Here is an 18,642-nt window from a genome sequence, read left to right as displayed (position 1 = left end):
CAATACTGTCTGCCTGTCCTTGGAAAGCGTCCCTGATTCAGGGTTTCCCCCTAAATGGCCAGAAGCAAAACAGCTGGAGCCTGGAGCACAGGATCATTTTGACAGCATTTGAGCACTACCTCTTGTATCTGATTTGTGGTAGGGATCAGGCTGTTCTTAGAGTAGGAACAAAATGTGCTTTGGGGAGAATCCAAGTGAAGAAATACAGAAAAAAGCTGAAGCAGCAGCCAGGGTTACAAGTTTCTCCATATCCCCAGTGCCTGGCACAGGGCCTGGCTCTGAGTGGGAGCCCAGGCAGAGCGTGCCCATCTGATTCCCAGATCACTGTGCCCTGGAAACCCTGATATTTACCTTCCTGGGGTATTTGTATGGAGCAGTCACCCTTTTCACATGCTCCTGGAGTTCCCGCGTTAGTGCCTCTGGGTCATGAGAGGAGTAGGCTGGAGTAAGGACTATAAATGCCTTTACCACCTGCAGGAAAACAAAATACCCAGAAAAGATCAGGCCTCGTATAACAACTCTTTTCTCCTTAAGTGAGGCTTGAATAAGTGCCTACATTTACCTTTGCACCATGAAAGTTCTACTAGTTTTTTTTGGGCACAGCCAATGACACAAACAACATCAATTTTTCTTTTGCTGGCCCTTCCAGGTGTGACTATTAGGAGGATTGACCTTTCTGGGATGATTTCAAACTCCTACCTCTTTCTCAAATTACTCCCCATACTTGGAATGACACCATTTGAAGCCAACATCGCTTCTCTTAAGAAGCAAATATTTTGGAGAAAAGAGGTTCATAAACTCCTAGGGCCATTTTCTTCCAGATTTTCCTAATGAGAAAGGTAGGTAGGCATGAGTTTGAACAGGTGGGATTGAGGAAAATGCAGGCACTTGCAAGGGGAACTAGGTCTTTGGGGGTCTGCGTGGATGAACATTTGCAATCAGCAGACCCTGAACTGCACCACTTCTGTTCCAGACATCCCGAGGGACATTCTGCATCTTGGGTCTCTCTGCCCACAACTTTCCTGCAGGCTGTCTTATGCCAGGCAGGAGGAAGTGTCCCAGACTCAAGCACAACAAACATAGTTTCTGTTAGGAATGGAAGGTCACTTGGATGCTTATTAATTCCAGCATTCCTATCTGTTAACAGTATTCTATTAAAGGGGTAGCTCACTGTCCTTGCATACTTCCCACAGGGAGGAAGGCCACTATCATTTCATGTTCAGACAGATATGCTTTTAGAAAGAGCTTCCTCTTACTCTTACTACTGTAACTACGAAACATTTGTTGGACACTTTTTTTTTTTTTTTTTTTTTTTTAAGACAGAGTCTCACCCTGTCGCCCAGGCTGGAGCTCAGTGAGGTGATCTCGGCTCACTGCAAGCTCTGCCTCCTGGGTTCACGCCATTCTCCTGCCTCAGCCTCCCGAGTAGCTGGGATTATAGGCGCCCACCGCCACGCCTGGCTAATTTTTAGTATTTTTAGTAGAGATGGGGTTTCACTGTGTTAGCCAGGATGATCTCGATCTCCTGACCTCGTGATCCACCCGCCTCGGCCTCCCAAAGTGCTGGGATTACAGACATGAGCCACCGTGTCCGGCTTATGTGTTGGGCACTTTCTACACACCAGACTCAGTTCTAAGCACCATACATGGATTAAGTTTGAGCACACAGCCATTTGTCACAGTCCCAGTTAACTCACGGCATGCAGAACTAGGCATACGTTTGAGGTATGATTTCTTCAGCACATCAATGGGACTCCACACCTCCCTTATTATACATTAATGGCTTTGGATTTTAGAGGGGAATCACTTGGCCAAGAATGGCTGGCTAAAATGCAGATTCTCTGGGCTGCATTCCCAGTAATCATGATTTGGTAAGTCTGACTTTAGGTCTACAAATCTATATTTTAAACAAGAATCTCAGATGATACAGTTGCAAGCAGTCCAAGAACCAGACTTTGAGAATCTCTCCTGTGGTCTTGATGCTTCTGAGAATGCAGGCTAATGTTGCACTAACTTTCAAAAGGTAACTGTTGTGCTTTAGGATTATGTTGGATGTAAGCCAGTGAAAAGTACCTAAGTCTGCCTGTTAGCTGATCTTTCCCATAATATGCATTCCTCTGGGACCCACAGAAAGATTTCTCCTAGCCGGGCACGGTGACTCACGCCTGTAATCCCAGCACTTTGGGAGCCGGGGTGGGTGGATCACCTAAGGTCAGGAGTTTAAGACCTCCAGCCTGGCCAACAAGGCAAAACCCTGTCTCTACTAAAAATACAAAAATTAGCCAGGTGTGGTGACATGTGCCTGTAATCCCAGCTACTGGGGGGGGTGCTGGGGCAGGAAGATCACTTGAACCTGGGAGGCGGAGGTTGCAGTGAGCCAAGATCATGCCACTGCACTTCAGCCTGGACAACACAGCAAGACTCCATCTCAAAAAAAAAAAAGGATTTCTCCTATGAAAGCCCAGCTTATTAAATTTGGCCCATCTTTCTGGTATATGTAGGTCATTTTGGATACATATTCTATCCCTCTTAGGTTACAGCCATCAGCAACTATTACTGGTGTGCTTGCTATGTCCTCATCTGCAAATAGAAAAGACTTTTTATTAGACAGGATGGATAACAGAGCCTGCACCTCCCCCAAGATCTCCTGCCCCATAGCCAGCCTCTCTGGGATGTAGTTGTGTCCATTTAAAAGCAAAGTGTTGGTGTTTTCCCATTATGTCCCTTTAGAGAGTAATTGTATCTCTAAAGACATGAAGGCAACGTGTGTCTGATGGTGGCATTTCAACTTTGTGGCACAAGGATGGAGGTGAAATACAGGACAATCTGAGCCTTCCTGCTTGTTCTGCTGGGTGCTAATAGGTACAGAAGCAGGAGGCCATGTTCTTGGGTGCACTGGTTACCTCTCCCCTGATGGGGTCTGGGCTGCTGACCACAGCCGACTCCAGGACAGCAGGATGCTCTGCCAGGGCACTTTCCACTTCAACAGGCCCGATCCGGTAGCTGGAAGGGAAAAACAAACTCTTCCAAGTGGGCTTCCCTCAACCCCCATGAAATTTCAAAGGAAGGAGGAAAGTGCAGACAGCTTGACCTTGAAGAATTGATCACATCGTCGTTTCTTCCCATGAACCAAAAGTAGCCATCCTTGTCCATGCGAGCTCGGTCCCCTGTGATGTAAAAGTCCCCTTGTTCTGATGCAGCTGTCTTCTCAGGATTGTCCTGAAAGACAAAGACAACCCGTGAAGGACCCTCTGGGAACAACTGCTAAGGCCAGTTACTGCCCCAGTAGCCCCCTGTAGGAAGCTGGAGACCACTCAACAGAAAGTTCAGCAGTTCCTAAAGTCCCGGCTGCCCAGAGTTCCCCAATGGACAGGGAGTTATGGCCCTGTTTAGTTGTGGGATTTCCCTCTTTTGATTGGAATCAAGCTGCCAGCCAATGGTTAAGGGCAGTCACCCACCACCATCCTTAGAAGGGGGTCTAGAAAGCATAGTTGAAAGCAGGAGGGTGGGCACAGGGCCACTGGCTGTGGTTTTTAGGACAAGAGAACACATGAATACTCTTTGTGCTCAGGAATCACTGAGGGTAGAAAGTGAAGGGCTAGGCCGGGTGTGGTGGCTCATCCCTATAATCCCAGCACTGTGGGAGGCTGAGGTGGGTGGATCACTTGAGGTCTGGAATTCGAGACCAGCTGGCCAACATAGTGAAAACCTGTCTCTACTAAAGACAAAAAAATTAGCTGGGTGTGGTGGTGCATGCCTGTAATTCCAGCTACTCGGGAGGCTGAGGCAGGCGAATTGCTTAAACCTGGGAGGCAGAGGTTGCAGTGAGCTGAGATTGTGCCACTGCACTCCAGCCTGGGCTATAGGGCGAGGCTGTGAGATTGCACCACTGCACTCAAGCCTGGGCTACAGGATGAGATTGCAAGATTGTGCCACTGCACTGCAGCCTGGGCTACAGGGCAAGACTTCAAGTAGGAAACAAAGGAAAGGAAGGGGAGGGGAGGGGACGGGAGGGGAGGGGAGAGGAGAGTGGGGAGGGAAGGGAAGGGAAGAGAAGGGAAGAGAAGGAAGAAAAGAAAGAGAGAAGAAAAGGGAGGGAGGAAAGGAGGAAGGGAGGGAGGGAAGAAGGAAAAGAAAGGAAGGAAGGAAAGAAAGAGAAAAAGAAAGAAAGAAAGAGAAAAGGAAGGAAGGAAGAAGAAGGAATGAAGGAAAAGAGAAAGAAAGAGAAAGAAAGAAAAAGAAAGAAAGAATGAAGAAAAAAGAAAGAAAGAGAAAGAAAAGAAAGAAAGAAAAAAGGAAGGAAGAAAGAAGGAAAGAAGGAAGGAAGGAAGGAAAGAAAAGAAAGAAAGAAAGAAAGGGAGGGTGGGAGAAGGGCTCACCAAAAAGCTCATTGGTGTGGGGCAAGAGTAGAGGAAAGAGAAAAACAATGAAACTCTGATTCTCAAAGTTTCAAAGAAAAAGCTACTACTCAGCAATAAAAATACATGAAACCACACAGATGACTTGCAGAAACATCATACTGAGTAAAAGAACCCAGACAGATAAACTGGAATAGTTTGTGATTCCATTTACATGAAGTTCTTTTTTAAAAATGCAAAATTATTATATACTGACGACAAACAATGTATCAATCGCTGGGTCTGGAGTGGAGAGGATTGCCTGTCAAGGGAGTGAAAAATGTTCCCTATTCGACTGTGGTGGCAGTTACACAGGGGCGGACATGTGTTAAAAGTCATTGACTTACACACTTAACGTGGGTGAATTTTACTGTAGGTAAATTATATCTCAATTCAACAAGGACCTTCTGAGAAAAAAGAAAAAATATAAGCTACCCTAAAAATACATCTAACACAAAATCTCTGAGATGTGTATGGAGAAAACTTAAAACTCTACACAACATTAAAGAAGATATAAATAAAGTGAAAGAAAGACTTAATCGGCCTGGTGCAGTGGCTCATGCCTATAATCCCAGCACTTCGGGAGGCCAAGGCAGGTGGATCACCTGAGGTCAGAAGTTCAAGACCAGCCTGGCCAACATGGAGAAACCCCATCTCTACTAAAAATACAAAAACTAGCCAGGTGTGGCGGCAGGCGCCTGTAATCCCAGCTACTTGGGAGGCTGAGGCAGGAGAATCACTTGAACCCGAGAGGCGGAGGCTGCAGTGAGCCAAGATCACACCACTGCACTCCAGCCTGGGTGACAGAGCAAGACTCTGCCTCAAAACAAAACAAAACAAAAAAGACTTAATTAATAGAGATGTCAATTATCCCTAAGTTGTTTTATAGGCAATACAATTCTAATCAAAATGCTAGCAAACATTTTCCAAGGAACTTGACAAGTTGATTCTAAAATACAAATGAATGAGCAAAGGGCTAAGAATAGGTAAAACACTTCTAAATGAGTTGAATAACAAGGTTAGAGTTGTTCTCCCACATGTGAAGACTTATGGTAATGCTTTTGTGGATAAGACTTTATGGTATCAGTACAGAGACAGAGTAAGTGATCAAGGAAATACAAGAAAGTGCCAAAGCCTATGTATGACTATATCAAACTTTTAAAAAATGATTTATTTATTTGAGATGGAGTCCCACTCTATTGCCCAGGCTGGAGTGCAGTGGTGTGATCTCAGCTCACTGCAACCTCTGCCTCCCGGGTTCAAGCAATTCTCCTGTCTCAGCCTCCCAAGTAGCTGGGACTACAGGTGCCCGCCACCACACCCAGCTAATTTTTGTATTTTTAGTAGAGAGGGTGTTTCACCATATTGGTCAGGCTGGTCTCGAACTCCTGACCTCAGGTGATCCACCAGCCTTGGCCTCCCAAAGTGCTAGGATTACAGTCGTGAGCAACCACACCTGGCCTATATTAAACTTTTATATCTGACAAAATTAGCATGACAGATAACTGGGAAAAGGAGGATTTATTCAACAAATTGGCTTTTCATATAGAAAAAAATAAAATAGACCCCTATCTCATATCATGCATACATCAACCACAGATGGATTATAAACTTAAATGTCAAAAGCAGAATTATAAAACTATTGGAAGAAACTATTGAATATGTGTATTTTCTACCCTAAAGTTGAAAATGATTTTATAAGACACAAAAAGCACTATCCATAACATTTAAAAACTTAATGATTTGATGACATGGAAATAAATGCTTCTGTTCAACAAAAATAGCTTAAAGAAAGTGAAAGAAAGTGAAAAGATAAGCTACAACCAAGGAGGAAGATGTTAGCAACTCTTAAAACAAACAAAGGACCGATATCAAGAATATATTAAGAACTCCTATAGGCTGGGAGTGGTGGCTCATGCCTGTAATCATAGCATTTTGGTGGGCTGAGGCAGGTGGATCACTTGAGCCCAGGAATTCAAAACCAGCCTAGGCAACATGGTGAAACCCCATCTTTACAAAAAAAAAAAAAAAAATTAGCCAGGTGTGGTGGCATGTGCCTGTAGTTCCAGCTACTCAGGAGGCTGAGGTGGGAGGATCAGCTGAGCCCAGGAAGTCAAAGCTGCAGTGGCCATGATTGTGCCACTGCACTCCAGCCTTGGTGGCAGAAGGAGACCCTGCTTCCAAAAAAAAATTGTATTAAATAGTTGCATAATATTTCTGTGTGGTGGTGATATTATGCATTTGAACAAATTCCTGGATTCTTTTTTTAAAATTTTTTCTCTCTTCTTTTTCTCCTTTTCTTTTGTTTTTTTGCTTTTGTTCACAATGCTATAATATAATCCTTTACATAACTAATTTCTGATATTAGAAATTTAGATAGTCCCTCCACCTTTTTTATCTGTTATAAACAGCCAGCACTATAACAAATATTTGTGCATTTGATAATTTGTTTCCCTAGGAAAATAAGCACATTCCTTATATGGGATATACAGTTGACACGGGCATATTCATTTAACTGACATGTGCAATTTCAGCTAAATGGGAATGACCAACGTGAATTTGAAATGTTTATGTTTATTGTAGGGGGAGAATGAGCTTAGCTTATCAAAACTCACAGAACAATTTTGGTCTGAGATCCTCTATAATAATTTTCACATGTTTCCTGATTCTCACGAAGACATTTAATATTTTTCTCTTAATTAAGAATGAGCTGGGCCGGGCACTGTGGCTGATGCCTGTAATCCCAGCACTTTGGGAGTTGCCCGAGGCGGGCAGATCACTTGAGGCCAGAAATTCCAGACCAGTCTGGCCAAGGTGGCAAAACCCTGTCTCTACTAAAAATACCAAAATTACCCCGGTGAAGTGGTGTGCGCCTGTAGTCCCAGTTACTTGGGAGACTGGAGCGCGAGAGTTGCTTGAGCCCAGGAGGTGGAAGTGCAGTGAGCCAAGATCGCACCACTGTACTCCAGCCTGGGCAACAGAGTGAGAAGACACTGTCACAAAAAAAAAAAAAAAAAAAAAAAAAAGAATGATCTGGAAAGAAAACTAACTGTTGGTACAGGTGACGGAAAGAAACAGTCAAAAAAACTAGATTGTTGTCTAGCAAATAACTTTTCAAATTACTTTAGTACACTCAGTGGAACAATCTCACAACCAGAAAGAAAGTGTACAAGTGCAGTAAGTACCAGAGTCCTGCTCCACACTAAGTACCAGAGTCCTGCTCCACACCGAGCGGCACGAAGTCGACAATAAATAATGAATGAATGCATTTTTTCAGTGGGGTCAAAGATTTACTATTGCTTCCAAGACTGATTAGCAGAAAATACATTAAATGTTAACATGATCTCAGCTTGGCATGATTACTATGTTGTGGGATTTTGTAAGTTTCTGTGATTTTAAACAAAATAAAGTAGAAGATTATTTCTCTTGTAGTGACAGAAAAACCACTAAAATGCAACATTTTGAAAAGAAATGGACTGATTTATTTCTGCTCCTTCTAATTCTGTAGCTGATTGACAGCTTAGTAGACACATGAGATGGCATTTCTATTAAGCAGTGGCTCTCAGGCTTGACATTCGAATCGCCTGGGAAACTGATCCACACCAACAGAAATGTTGATTTTAATTAAGCTGAGGTGGGGCTCAAGCATCAGCAATAACTGAGGCTTGCCAGGTGTTTCTAATGCACAGCCAGGTCTGAGAGTTTTATAGAGAAAGCTGTGAAGAAAAGAAAGCCCGACATAAACACCACCCAAGATGAATACAAAAGAGAAGCAGTTACTGAATTATCCCAGAAACTTGGACTGAAATCCCAGGTTTGTGCCCTGCTAGCAAACCACAAAGAGAATCCTGAAGACAGCTCTGACACAATAGTGCAGTTTGACCTTTATGTATTTATTTATTTTATTATTATTATTATTTTTTTTTTTTGATACGGAGTCTCGTTCCCTCACCCAGGCTGGAGGGCAGTGGAATGATCCTGGCTCACGGCAACCTCCCTGGTTCAAGCAATTCTCCTGTCTCAGCCTCCCAAGTAGCTGGGAATAGAGGCGTGCGCCACCATGCCTGGCTGATTTTTGTATTTTTGGTAGAAACGGGGTTTCACTATGCTGACCAGGCTGGTGTTGAACTCCTGACCTCAGGTGATCCACCTGCCTCGGCCTCTGAAAGTGCTGAGATTACAGATGTGAGCCACTGCACCCGGCTGCAGTTTGACCTTCAGAAGCTCCTTTCCTTTACTGTACCTCGATTTTCACCTCATTAAAACAACAGTGCTGCCCTCATGTCATGTTTACGCTTTCAGACACACCCACATTTAAATCCCATGTCCTGCCTGTACTATTTGCATGATGCTGGATAAGTCACTTCCCCTTTGTAGTAGCTTCCTTATCAATAATAGTCTTCCTTATCAATAACAGAACTTTATTAATAATAGTAGCAACCTACCTCATGCAGTCATTGTAAGGATTAAACAAATAGATATTTACAAAGTGTGGTGCACAATGCTTAGCACACAGTCACTGTCATGAGAACGGCTGTTCCCCGTCTCTTACCAAATAGCAATTGAAGAAACAGAAGGGCCGAGTGGGTCTGATACGGACGGCAACATTCCCCTCTTCTCCAGGAGGCAGGACGTTGCCCTCATCATCCACAATCTGGTAAGGAAATCATCACAGAGGTGCATACGTGAGTGTCTACACCCTGGGCCTCTCCCAGCAGCCCAGCAGCCCGTGCCAACCAGGCCTGTGTGTCTTTCTCCTCTCCATGCCAGGCCTTGCCAGAAGTTGGGGGAGGCTGCTACCTGCACATCGTAGGGTGGGGACGCCTTCCCCATGGATCCAGACTTGATTTTCATGCCTTTTGGATTGGCACAGATGACAACCTGGGGAGAACGCAGTACAGATAAAGAAGAGCCTTTCCACTTAGCTTCTTTCCTGGGCCATGCCTTTCTCTCACCCTGCCTGATAACTCTTTCTCTCATCCTCTTTTTTCTCCTCCCTCACTTTCTTCTTTCTTTCCCTTCTCCTCTCTCCATTTCTCTCCATTCTTCCTCCCTTCTTTCTTTTCTTTTTTCTTCCTTGCTCACTCCTTCCTTTCCTCTTTCTTTCCTTTCTTTCCCCTTTCCTGTTTTCTTCCTTCCCTCCTTCATTTTCTTTCCTCCTTTTTTTCATTCTTTTCCCCGTTATTTCATTCTCCATTTTCCTCTCTCCTCCCTTCTTCTTTGTTCCCTATTTCCTTCCTTCCATTCATCTTTTTCCCTTCCTTTCCTCCTTCTTTTCCTTTCTCTTTCCTTTATTTCCTCCCTCCCTTCCTTCTTCATTTTCTTCCTATTTTCTTCCCTCTTTCTTGCCTGTCTTTCTTCTTTTCTTTCCATAGTTAACAAACAATTATGGGGCACTCCAGTGGGCACTCAAACATAAAGAACTTAACCCATCTCTAAGCCAAAAGACTCAGTTGATCCCCAGATCTCTTCCTAGATGACTATAGAGGACGCTGCTTAGAATCTTGGACTCTGAACAGTGGCAGATGTAGACTGTCTTGGTGGAGACAAACAATGCCTTCAGCAGTGAGGGCTGGTTTGCTGGTCATGGTATAATTGTAAAAGTACTTTAAATTACCTTTTTTTAATTTATAAGTAGTGTGTGTGTGTGTGTGTGTGTGTGTGTGTGTGTGTATTTCAATAGCTTTTTGGGTTCGAGCGTTTTTTTGTAACATGGATGAATTCTATAGTGGTGAATCCTGAGATTTTAGTGCATCTGTAAGCTGAGTAGTGTACATTATACCCAATACGTAGTTTTTTTACCTTCACGCCCCTCCTCTCACCTTCTTCCTTCTGAGTCTCCAAAGTCTTTTATACCACTCTGTATGTCTTTGCATCCTCATAGCTTAGCTCCCACTTATAAGTGAGAACATATGGAAATCAAAAGGGAAGGAAAGCTGATGGAATTTTGTTATCAGCTTCTCCCCTGGGGGAAGGGTGGTCCCTGAGAAGCTTCAGGGAGGTGACAGCCGGAGAGGCAGGAAGCTCTCGAGGGGACCTGGGGGGTAGGGACCTGGCCCCTCCAGCACTCACCGTTTCAGACTGGCCATAGCCTTCGTACAGCTCCACACCAGTCTGGTGTTTCCACTTCTCCCTCACGTCAGGGTTGAGGGCCTCTCCTCCGGTCAGACAGTGCCTCAGGCTCTGAAACTGGTACCTTTCTCAGACAGGAAAACAAGGCCACCTATGTCAGGATCTTCATATCACCCCGCCCTCTGGTGCCACTGCCCAGATGCAAACACCACAGGCACTAGAGGGTAGATGCCCCTGCTTTTTAATCTTCTCTAAGTGAGTCCACCCACTGGCTTTGCAACCATGCTCCTCATGGACAGATAATTTTTAAAAGATCCATCCTATCTGAGTTTGAGATAAAATCAGAAGCTCATATAATAGGTTTTGGCATAATATGGTGAGTTCCAGGTAACTTGGCCAAAATAATTTAGTTGGAAAAAAACTGATAATAAATTGGTTAGGACAGTAATCTGATTGAAAAGGATAGATGAATTAGAAATTGAAAAGATAGGCCAGGCACCATGGCTCACACCTGTAGTCCCAGCACTTTGGGAGGCCTAGGTGGGCAGATTGCTTGATCTCAGGAGTTGAAGACCAGCCTGGTCAACGTGGTAAAACCCCGTCTCTACCGAAAAATACTAAAAATTAGCTGGGTATGGTGGCACATGCCTGTAGTCCCAGCTACTTGGAATGTTGAAGTGGGAGGAAAGCTGGAACCTGGGAGGCAGATGTTGCAGTGAGCTGAGATCATGCCACTGCACTCCAGCCTGGGCAACAGAGCAAGACTCTGTCTCTAAAATAAATAAATAAATAAAAATAAAAGAAAAAGGAAAAGAAAGGAAAGAAAAGAAAATGGAAAAGATAAAAATTAGACCCCTAAGAATCCCAAAAATTCCTACAGATATTAATTATGTTGCAAAATGCCCTCTCTGTTCAACAAATCATCCAAATTATAAAAAAGAACAGTGACTGCAAGTACATTTTTAATCTTGGAGGAGAGGGGAGATCAAATTGGCTTGATTAAGTTACTTATTATTACCAAAGAGCATTCAACGACATTGTTCTTAACGAGGTACTTGGAGCTTGCTTTCAGCCAAAATCATCATGTGGAGATGCACACATCAGATCAATGAATGGGATGATTTTCTTACATTGGAGAAGAATTCACTTTTAGAAGCATGTAAGAACTCCCTTTTTTGGACACTTGGTGGGTAGATTCATGTGATTAGGAAAGATGAGAGGACGACTCCTCATGACTTACGGGAGGACAAAAGAGGGAGAACAGGTCAGGGTTGGTGGATACTGAAGGACAGTGGGCCTCTCTCCATATACCCCAGCAACCAGCCCTGTTCTGCTAGAAGATGTTGCTTTGGCTTCACCCAGGATGGAGCCATCATCAGTGCCTTGTCCCTTTCTCTTGGGTGCCCAATGGCATGTGCTCAGAGAACAGTTGGCTGGGGTTAGTCTGAGGCTGAGAGTTGGGGCATCTACTGCGGTGCGGGCTTGTTAGTTTCACCACACCTGAGGGCCCTGGCCACAGACCCCACTCCACAGGTGGCTAACAATTTTCCAATCATTTCTCTCGCCTCACAGAAGTAGCAGACACACTGCTGACAGAATAGCCCATGGGTGTATGGTGTGAGGAGAAGCCTATCTCAGGTGCTAAAATTTCAGTCTGCCTTAAATCTATTTAGTTCCATCTGGATGCAAATTTTGGGGGGCCAGAAGCTTGTTCTTGAGGGGCATCTGTGAGATTTACAGGTATGTTGACTTGTCAATGTGTACGTGTATAAATGTGTGTGTGAGAGAGAGACAAAGAGAGAGGCAGAAAAATATATAGAGGGAGAGACAGAGAAAGAAAGAGAGTTGGAATGAGAGGGTAGTTGTGTGTGTGGATACCCATGCTATATATTCACATACTTAGGCCCTCAAAGCACGAAATAGACGGGCTGTACCTGGTCAGATCCTCCTGCACAAGCAGCCGAAAGATGGTTGGGACACAGCAGAGGGTGGTTATCGGGAATTTGGAGAGAGTCTAAACAAAAACAAAGGGTGAAAGATGTCCTTAGAATCATTGGGGTGGGACCATGAAGATGGAGCCAAATGCATCTTTATAGTCTCAGTACCAAAGCAGAGAAGCTGAAAACTATGTGTGGAATCCAGCAGCCAAGATGGTGTCCAGTGACTCCTACTTCCTGGCATGTGCACCTTTGGAGGATCCCCTCTCACCTCATACCAAAGTGGGTCTGTGACAGCAATGGCATACTGCCAAGGTGATGAATACCACTTTCAAGATTCGGTTATACAAAGACTATGGCTTCTGTCTTGGATATTCTTTCTCTCTGCCTTTCTTGGATCCCTTGTTCTGGGGGAAGCAAGCCACCATGTTTTGAGTATGCTCAAGCCATCCTACGGACAGGTGCACACAGTGAGAAACTGGAGACTAGCAAACACCCAGTGAGAAATTGAAGTCTACTAAAAACCACCAGTGAGGTTTTTGTTTTGTTTTTTGTTTGGTTTTTTGAGATGGAGTCTCACTCTGTCACCCAGGCTGGAGTGCAGTGGCAAGATCTCAGCTCACTGCAACCTCTGCCTCCCGGGTTCAAGCAATTCTCTGCCTCAGACCCCTGAGTAGCTGGGATTACAGGTGCCCACCACCAGGCCCGGCTAATTTTTGTATTTTTAGTAGAAACGGGGTTTCACCATCCTGGCCAGGCTGGTCTTTAACTCCTGACCTCATGATTCACCCGCCTTGGCCTCCCAAAGTGCTGGGATTACAGGTATGAACCACTGTGCCCGGCCACCAGTGAACTTTTAAGCAATTTTCCAGCTTCAGTCAATCCTTAAGATGATTGCAGTCCTAGCAAATATCTTCTTTAAAATTATTGTGGCAAAATACACACAACATAGGATTTGCCCATTGGAACGGTTTTTAAGTGTATAGTCCAGTGGGATTAAACATTTCCAGAGTGTTGTGCAACCATCGCTACCATCCACCTCCAGAACTATTTTTATCTTCTCAAACTTAAACTCTGTACCCATTACACAATAATTTCCCATTAATCTCTCCCCTAACTCCTGGTAAACACCATTGTACTTTCTGTCTCTATGAATTTGACTACTCTTGGAATCTCATGTAAGTGGAATCATACAGTATTTGTCCTTGTATGACTGGCATGTTTCACTTAGCATAATGTCCTCAAGGGTTATCCACGTTATATCATACAACAAGATGTCCTTCCTTTTTAAGGCTGGGTAATATTCCATTGTACATATACACCACATTTTGTTTATTCATTCATCTGTGGATGGACACTTGTGTTGCTTTCACCTTTTAGTTATTGTTAATGCTGCTATGAACATGAGCATACCTTGCTGACCTCTTGATTGCAACCTCATGAGAGACCCTGCTCCAAAAACCCCTCATTAAGCTACCTCCAGCTTCCTGACCATCAGAAACTGTGAGATAAATGCTTGTGTTTTAAAGTGCTAAGTTTCGGTATAATTTATTACATAGCAATAGATAATGAAAACACTATATCAGAGCTGGGGACAGTGCAAGGAGAAGGTCCATACATTGGCTGATCAAGCACTACATGGATAATGATGGTGATGAGTTTGATCATGATGATAACAATCAATATGGGTTAAGAATCTACTATATTTGGTCCACCATGTGATACCAGCTTACTCCTGCAAGAATGGCCATAATCAAAATATCAAAAAATAATAGATGTTGGCATGGATGCAGTGAACAAGGAACACTTCTACATTGCTGGTAGGAATGTAAACTAGTACAACCACTGTGGAAAACAGTGTGGAGATTCCTTAAAGAACTAAAAGTAGAACTACCATTTGATCCAGCAATCCCACTTCTGGGCATCTATCCAGAAGAAAAGAAGTCATATGAAAAAGATACTTGCACATACATGTTTATAGCAGCACAGTTTGCAATTGCAAAAATGTGGAACAAACCCAAATGCCCATAAATCAACAGGTGGGCAAAGAAAGTGTGGTATATAAATATATATAATGGAATACAACTCAGCCATAAAAAGGAATGAATTAATGGCATTCGCAGGGACCTGGATGAGATTGTAGACTATTATTCTAAGTAAAGTAACTCAGAAATGGAAAACCAAATATTTTATGTTCTCCCTCATAAGTGGGAGCTAAGCTATGAGGATGCAAAGGTGTAAGAATGGCACAATGGACTTTGGGGACTTGGGGAAAATGGTGGGAAGGGGGTGAGGGATAAAAGACTACAAATTGGGTGCAGTGTATACTGCTCAGGTGATGGGTGCACCAAAATCTTACAATCACCACTAAAGAACTTACTCATGTAATCAAACACCACCTGTTCCCCAATAACCTATGAAAATAATTTTTTTTTAAAAAAAGAATCTACTATGTTTTGAAGCAACCTAAGTGTCCATCAACAGATGAATGGAAAAAGAAGATGTACATATACACAATGGATCCATAAAAAAGAATGAGGTCCTGTCATTTGCTGCAACATGGATGGAACTGGAGATCATTATGTTAAGTGAAATAAGCCAGGCACATAAAGACTAACTTCACATATTCTCACTTATTTGTGAGATTTAAAAGTCAAAACAATTGAACTCATGGAAATAGAGATTAGAAGGATGATTACCAGAGGCTGGGAAGGGTAGTCGGGGGCTGGGAGAAAGGTGGGGATGGTTAGTTGGTACCAAAATAATAGAATGAATGAATAAGACCTGTTATTTTAAAGCACATCAGGGTGACTATAGTCAATAAAAACTTAATTGTACATTTTAAAATAACTGAAAGAGTATAATTAGATTGTAACACAAAAGATAAATGCTTTGAGGGTATGGATACCCCATTCTCTATGATGTGATTTTCACGCATTGCATGCCTACATCAAAACATCTCATGTACCCCATAAATATATACACCTACTATGTATCCACAAAAATTAAAAATTATTTCAAAAAAGAACCTATGATGTGCTGGCCCCTTTGCCTTGTATCATTTCATTCTCGCAGCAAATCTATAGAGAAATGTATCCCTTTCTTACAGATGAGGCTGAAACTGCAGCTCAGGAGATTAAGCAGCTTCCCCAAGGCCACACAGCTAGCGAATCAAAGGTGTAGGATCAGAGTCCAGGTCTGACTCTTTGACTGATGGCACAGCCTATGCAGTTAGCTACCATGTGATACAGCTTATCTCAGTACAAATAATATGAGCAGAAGTGTCCTCTGACATTTTAAGGAATGACAGGATGTGGGGGGTGGAAGAAAGGTGACCTGTGTCTTGACTGGGGCCACCAATCTCCTCCCTCCCCATGAGAAGACCCTGAGAGGCTGAGCAGGAGTCACCAGGACTCTCTAGTTGGGCCAACTACTCATGTTAAGAACCATGGACAGTAGCATTTGGAGTTGAGGCATAGACTGATTTTGCCTAAGGGTTTGACAAATACCTAGGGTTTTGGCAGGAGCATAGGGAAGAAAGTGGTGGAAACAAGGGCACCCCATGCAAAAGAAATAGCAACAAAATGGTCTTACATCTAGGAATGTAGCTAGAGCATAGGCAATGATTGAAGGGAACCAGGTGGTCAGGAACCAGATTATGGAAGGCCAGGGAGCCACACCAAAGAAGCCTTAAATTCACTGATTTATGTGTTTTCTCCTGCAGTCTGAAATCTATATCCCACTCATCTCATTTGTACCCAACACATATGGGGTATTGTTGGTTTTTCCTCTTACATTCAGGATAACTTTGGCATCAACTCGGGGCAGCTCATGCACAAAAATGCAAGATCCATTAGGCCAGGCAGAGAAGAGAGTCCAGGCTGCCTTCACCCAGCCAGTGTCAGTCGTGTTCCAGAAGATGTCAGATTCGGTCAAGGCCACCCACCGTCTGCCAAAAATTAGAGAACGTCAGTAACCTTGGCAATGACTCTACCTTTAAAAAGGATTGTATTATCTATATCACCACATTTGGAGCCCTGCTCAGTGGGTACTCACTTATACTTGTGAAACCTGAACAAGACCATCAAGTCAACTATTGTCTCAACCAGCATCTTCCATGTACCTATGCCCTAGGCTAAGAATACAGAAGCAAAAAGAGTTTCCAGAAAGTTCACAGTCCAGTGGATGTGATATATAAGGGGAAAAAATTAACCTCAATACTCTGTGCTAAGGTCACTTTATTTAGCCAACATTTATTTAGCATTTAGTCTGGACTTAGCACTAGGGATCTAGAAATGAACGATTAGTCTTGCTTTGAGGGCCTTATAGGAAGCCCCTGGAGAGCATGTTTTAATAGAGCTAAACACAAAGCCTTGTGCAATTATAGAGAATAGGCACCTAACCCAGAGCAATGATGGACATGGGTTTCTGAGAAATGCTCTGGTAGAGGAAGTGACACTTGAGTTAGACATAAAGAATAAATAGGGATTATATAGGTGAGGCAGAGAAGCAGGAGCATCCCAGGAATGGGAAACAGTGTCTGCAAACATGGAAGACATAAAAAGCGGTCATGCACTTGAATCCTGGGACACGCGCACTCCTGGTTCTCCCCATTTCATTGGCTGTTCCCTTCTCAGTCTCCTCTGCTGAGTCCTCCTGGTCTTCCCCTTCAGTGCAGAAATGCCTCGGGCACTCAGTCCTGAGACCCATTCTCTTTTCAGTTTATATTACACTTTGCTGATCTCATCCCATCTCATGGTATGAAATACCATCTTTACACTGATAAGTTCAGCATGAATCTTTCTCATTAACTTCAGACATGTGTATCCAAATGCCCACTCAACATCTCCACTTTTAACAAGGAGATGGAGATTTCTAAGAAGACTCTCAAATTGACAACTCCATAAACAAACTGTTTTCTTGCCACCAGACAGCTCATCCCACAGTTCTTCCCCCATCATTTAGTGCTTCCAGTTGTTCAGGCCATTCCTCTTAGAGCTCTCCTTGACTCCTCCTTCTCATTCCACACTGATTCTGTCAGCAAGCCTTATTGGGTCTAGGTTGAAAATACATTCAGAATCTCATCTCTTCTCCCACTACTGCTCCCCGGGCAAGCTACCATGCTTGCCTCTTAATGCACTGGTCATCTTCTTTACCTGTTTCCCCTACAGTTACATTGTCAACCCAACATCCTGAGTGAGCCTTTAAAAAACATATTAGATTATGTCACTCCTCTGCTCAAAATACCCAATGCTTCTCAAAAAAAATTAAACATAGAATTACCATATGATCCAGCAATTTCATTTCTGCATGTATATCCAAAAGAAGTAAAAGCAGAGACTCTAACAGATACTCACATGCCAGTGTTTATAGCAACATTATTGACAATAGCCAAAATGTGGAAGCTACCCAAGTGTCTATCAACAGGTGAATGGATTATTTAAAATGTGGTCGAGGCCAGGTGCAGTGGCTCATGCCTGTAATCCCAGCACTTTGAGAGGCCAAGGCGTGAGGATCATGAGGTCAGGAGTTCGAGACCAGCCTGGCCAACATGGTGAAACCCGGTCTCTACTAAAAATACAAAAATTAGCTGGGTGTGGTGGCGGGCACCTGTAACCCCAGCTATCTGGGAGGCTGAGGCAGGAGAATTGCTTGAAACTGGAAGGCAGAGGTTGCAGTGAGTGGAGATCGCACCACTGCACACCAGCCTGGGCAAAAGAGCAAAACTCTGTCTCAAAAAAATAAAAATAAAATAAAAAATAAAAATAAATAAAATGTGGTCTATCCATACAATGGAATATTTTTCAGTCTTAAAAGGGAAGGAAATTTTGACACATGCTATGACACGGATGAACCTTGAGGACATTATGCTAAGTGAAAGAAGCCAAATTGCAAAACAAAAGGACAGACTGCATGATGCCAGTTACACGAAATACCTAGAGTATCAAATTCACAGAGATGAAAAGTAAAATAGAGGTTACCAGGGGTGAGGGGAGAGGGTAATGGGGTGTTATTGGGTAATGGGGGCACAGTTCTCATTTGGAAAGATAAAGTAAATTCTGGAAATGGATGGTGATTGTGGTTGCACAACAATGTGAATGTATTTAATGACATTAAACTGTACACTTAAAATGGTTAAAAGGGTACATTTATGATATATGTATATATATGTTTATATGTGTATGTATGTATATATATGTGTGTGTGTATATATATATATATATATATATATATAT

General features: G+C 43.2%; 1 protein-coding gene across 3 annotated transcripts in view; it reads right to left on the bottom strand.

Annotated features, from left to right (window-relative positions):
- The window catches only part of ACSM5 (acyl-CoA synthetase medium chain family member 5), a 31,803-nt gene that overhangs the window by 1,066 nt on the left and 12,095 nt on the right, over nt 1-18,642 (bottom strand). For all 3 annotated transcript variants that reach the window (NM_017888.3, NM_001324372.2, NM_001324371.2), the window contains exons 6-13: nt 16,202-16,355; nt 12,404-12,483; nt 10,470-10,593; nt 9,198-9,278; nt 8,950-9,051; nt 3,092-3,219; nt 2,904-3,003; nt 352-471 (exon numbers count right to left, since the gene is read on the bottom strand). In NM_017888.3, the coding sequence (NP_060358.2) occupies nt 352-471; nt 2,904-3,003; nt 3,092-3,219; nt 8,950-9,051; nt 9,198-9,278; nt 10,470-10,593; nt 12,404-12,483; nt 16,202-16,355 (889 nt within the window). The remainder of the gene's footprint in view (nt 1-351; nt 472-2,903; nt 3,004-3,091; nt 3,220-8,949; nt 9,052-9,197; nt 9,279-10,469; nt 10,594-12,403; nt 12,484-16,201; nt 16,356-18,642) is intronic.

This window comes from Homo sapiens, chromosome 16, assembly GCF_000001405.40.
Source record: "Homo sapiens chromosome 16, GRCh38.p14 Primary Assembly".
Lineage (NCBI taxonomy): Eukaryota > Metazoa > Chordata > Mammalia > Primates > Hominidae > Homo > Homo sapiens.
This window is presented reverse-complemented; position numbering and strand designations above follow the sequence as displayed.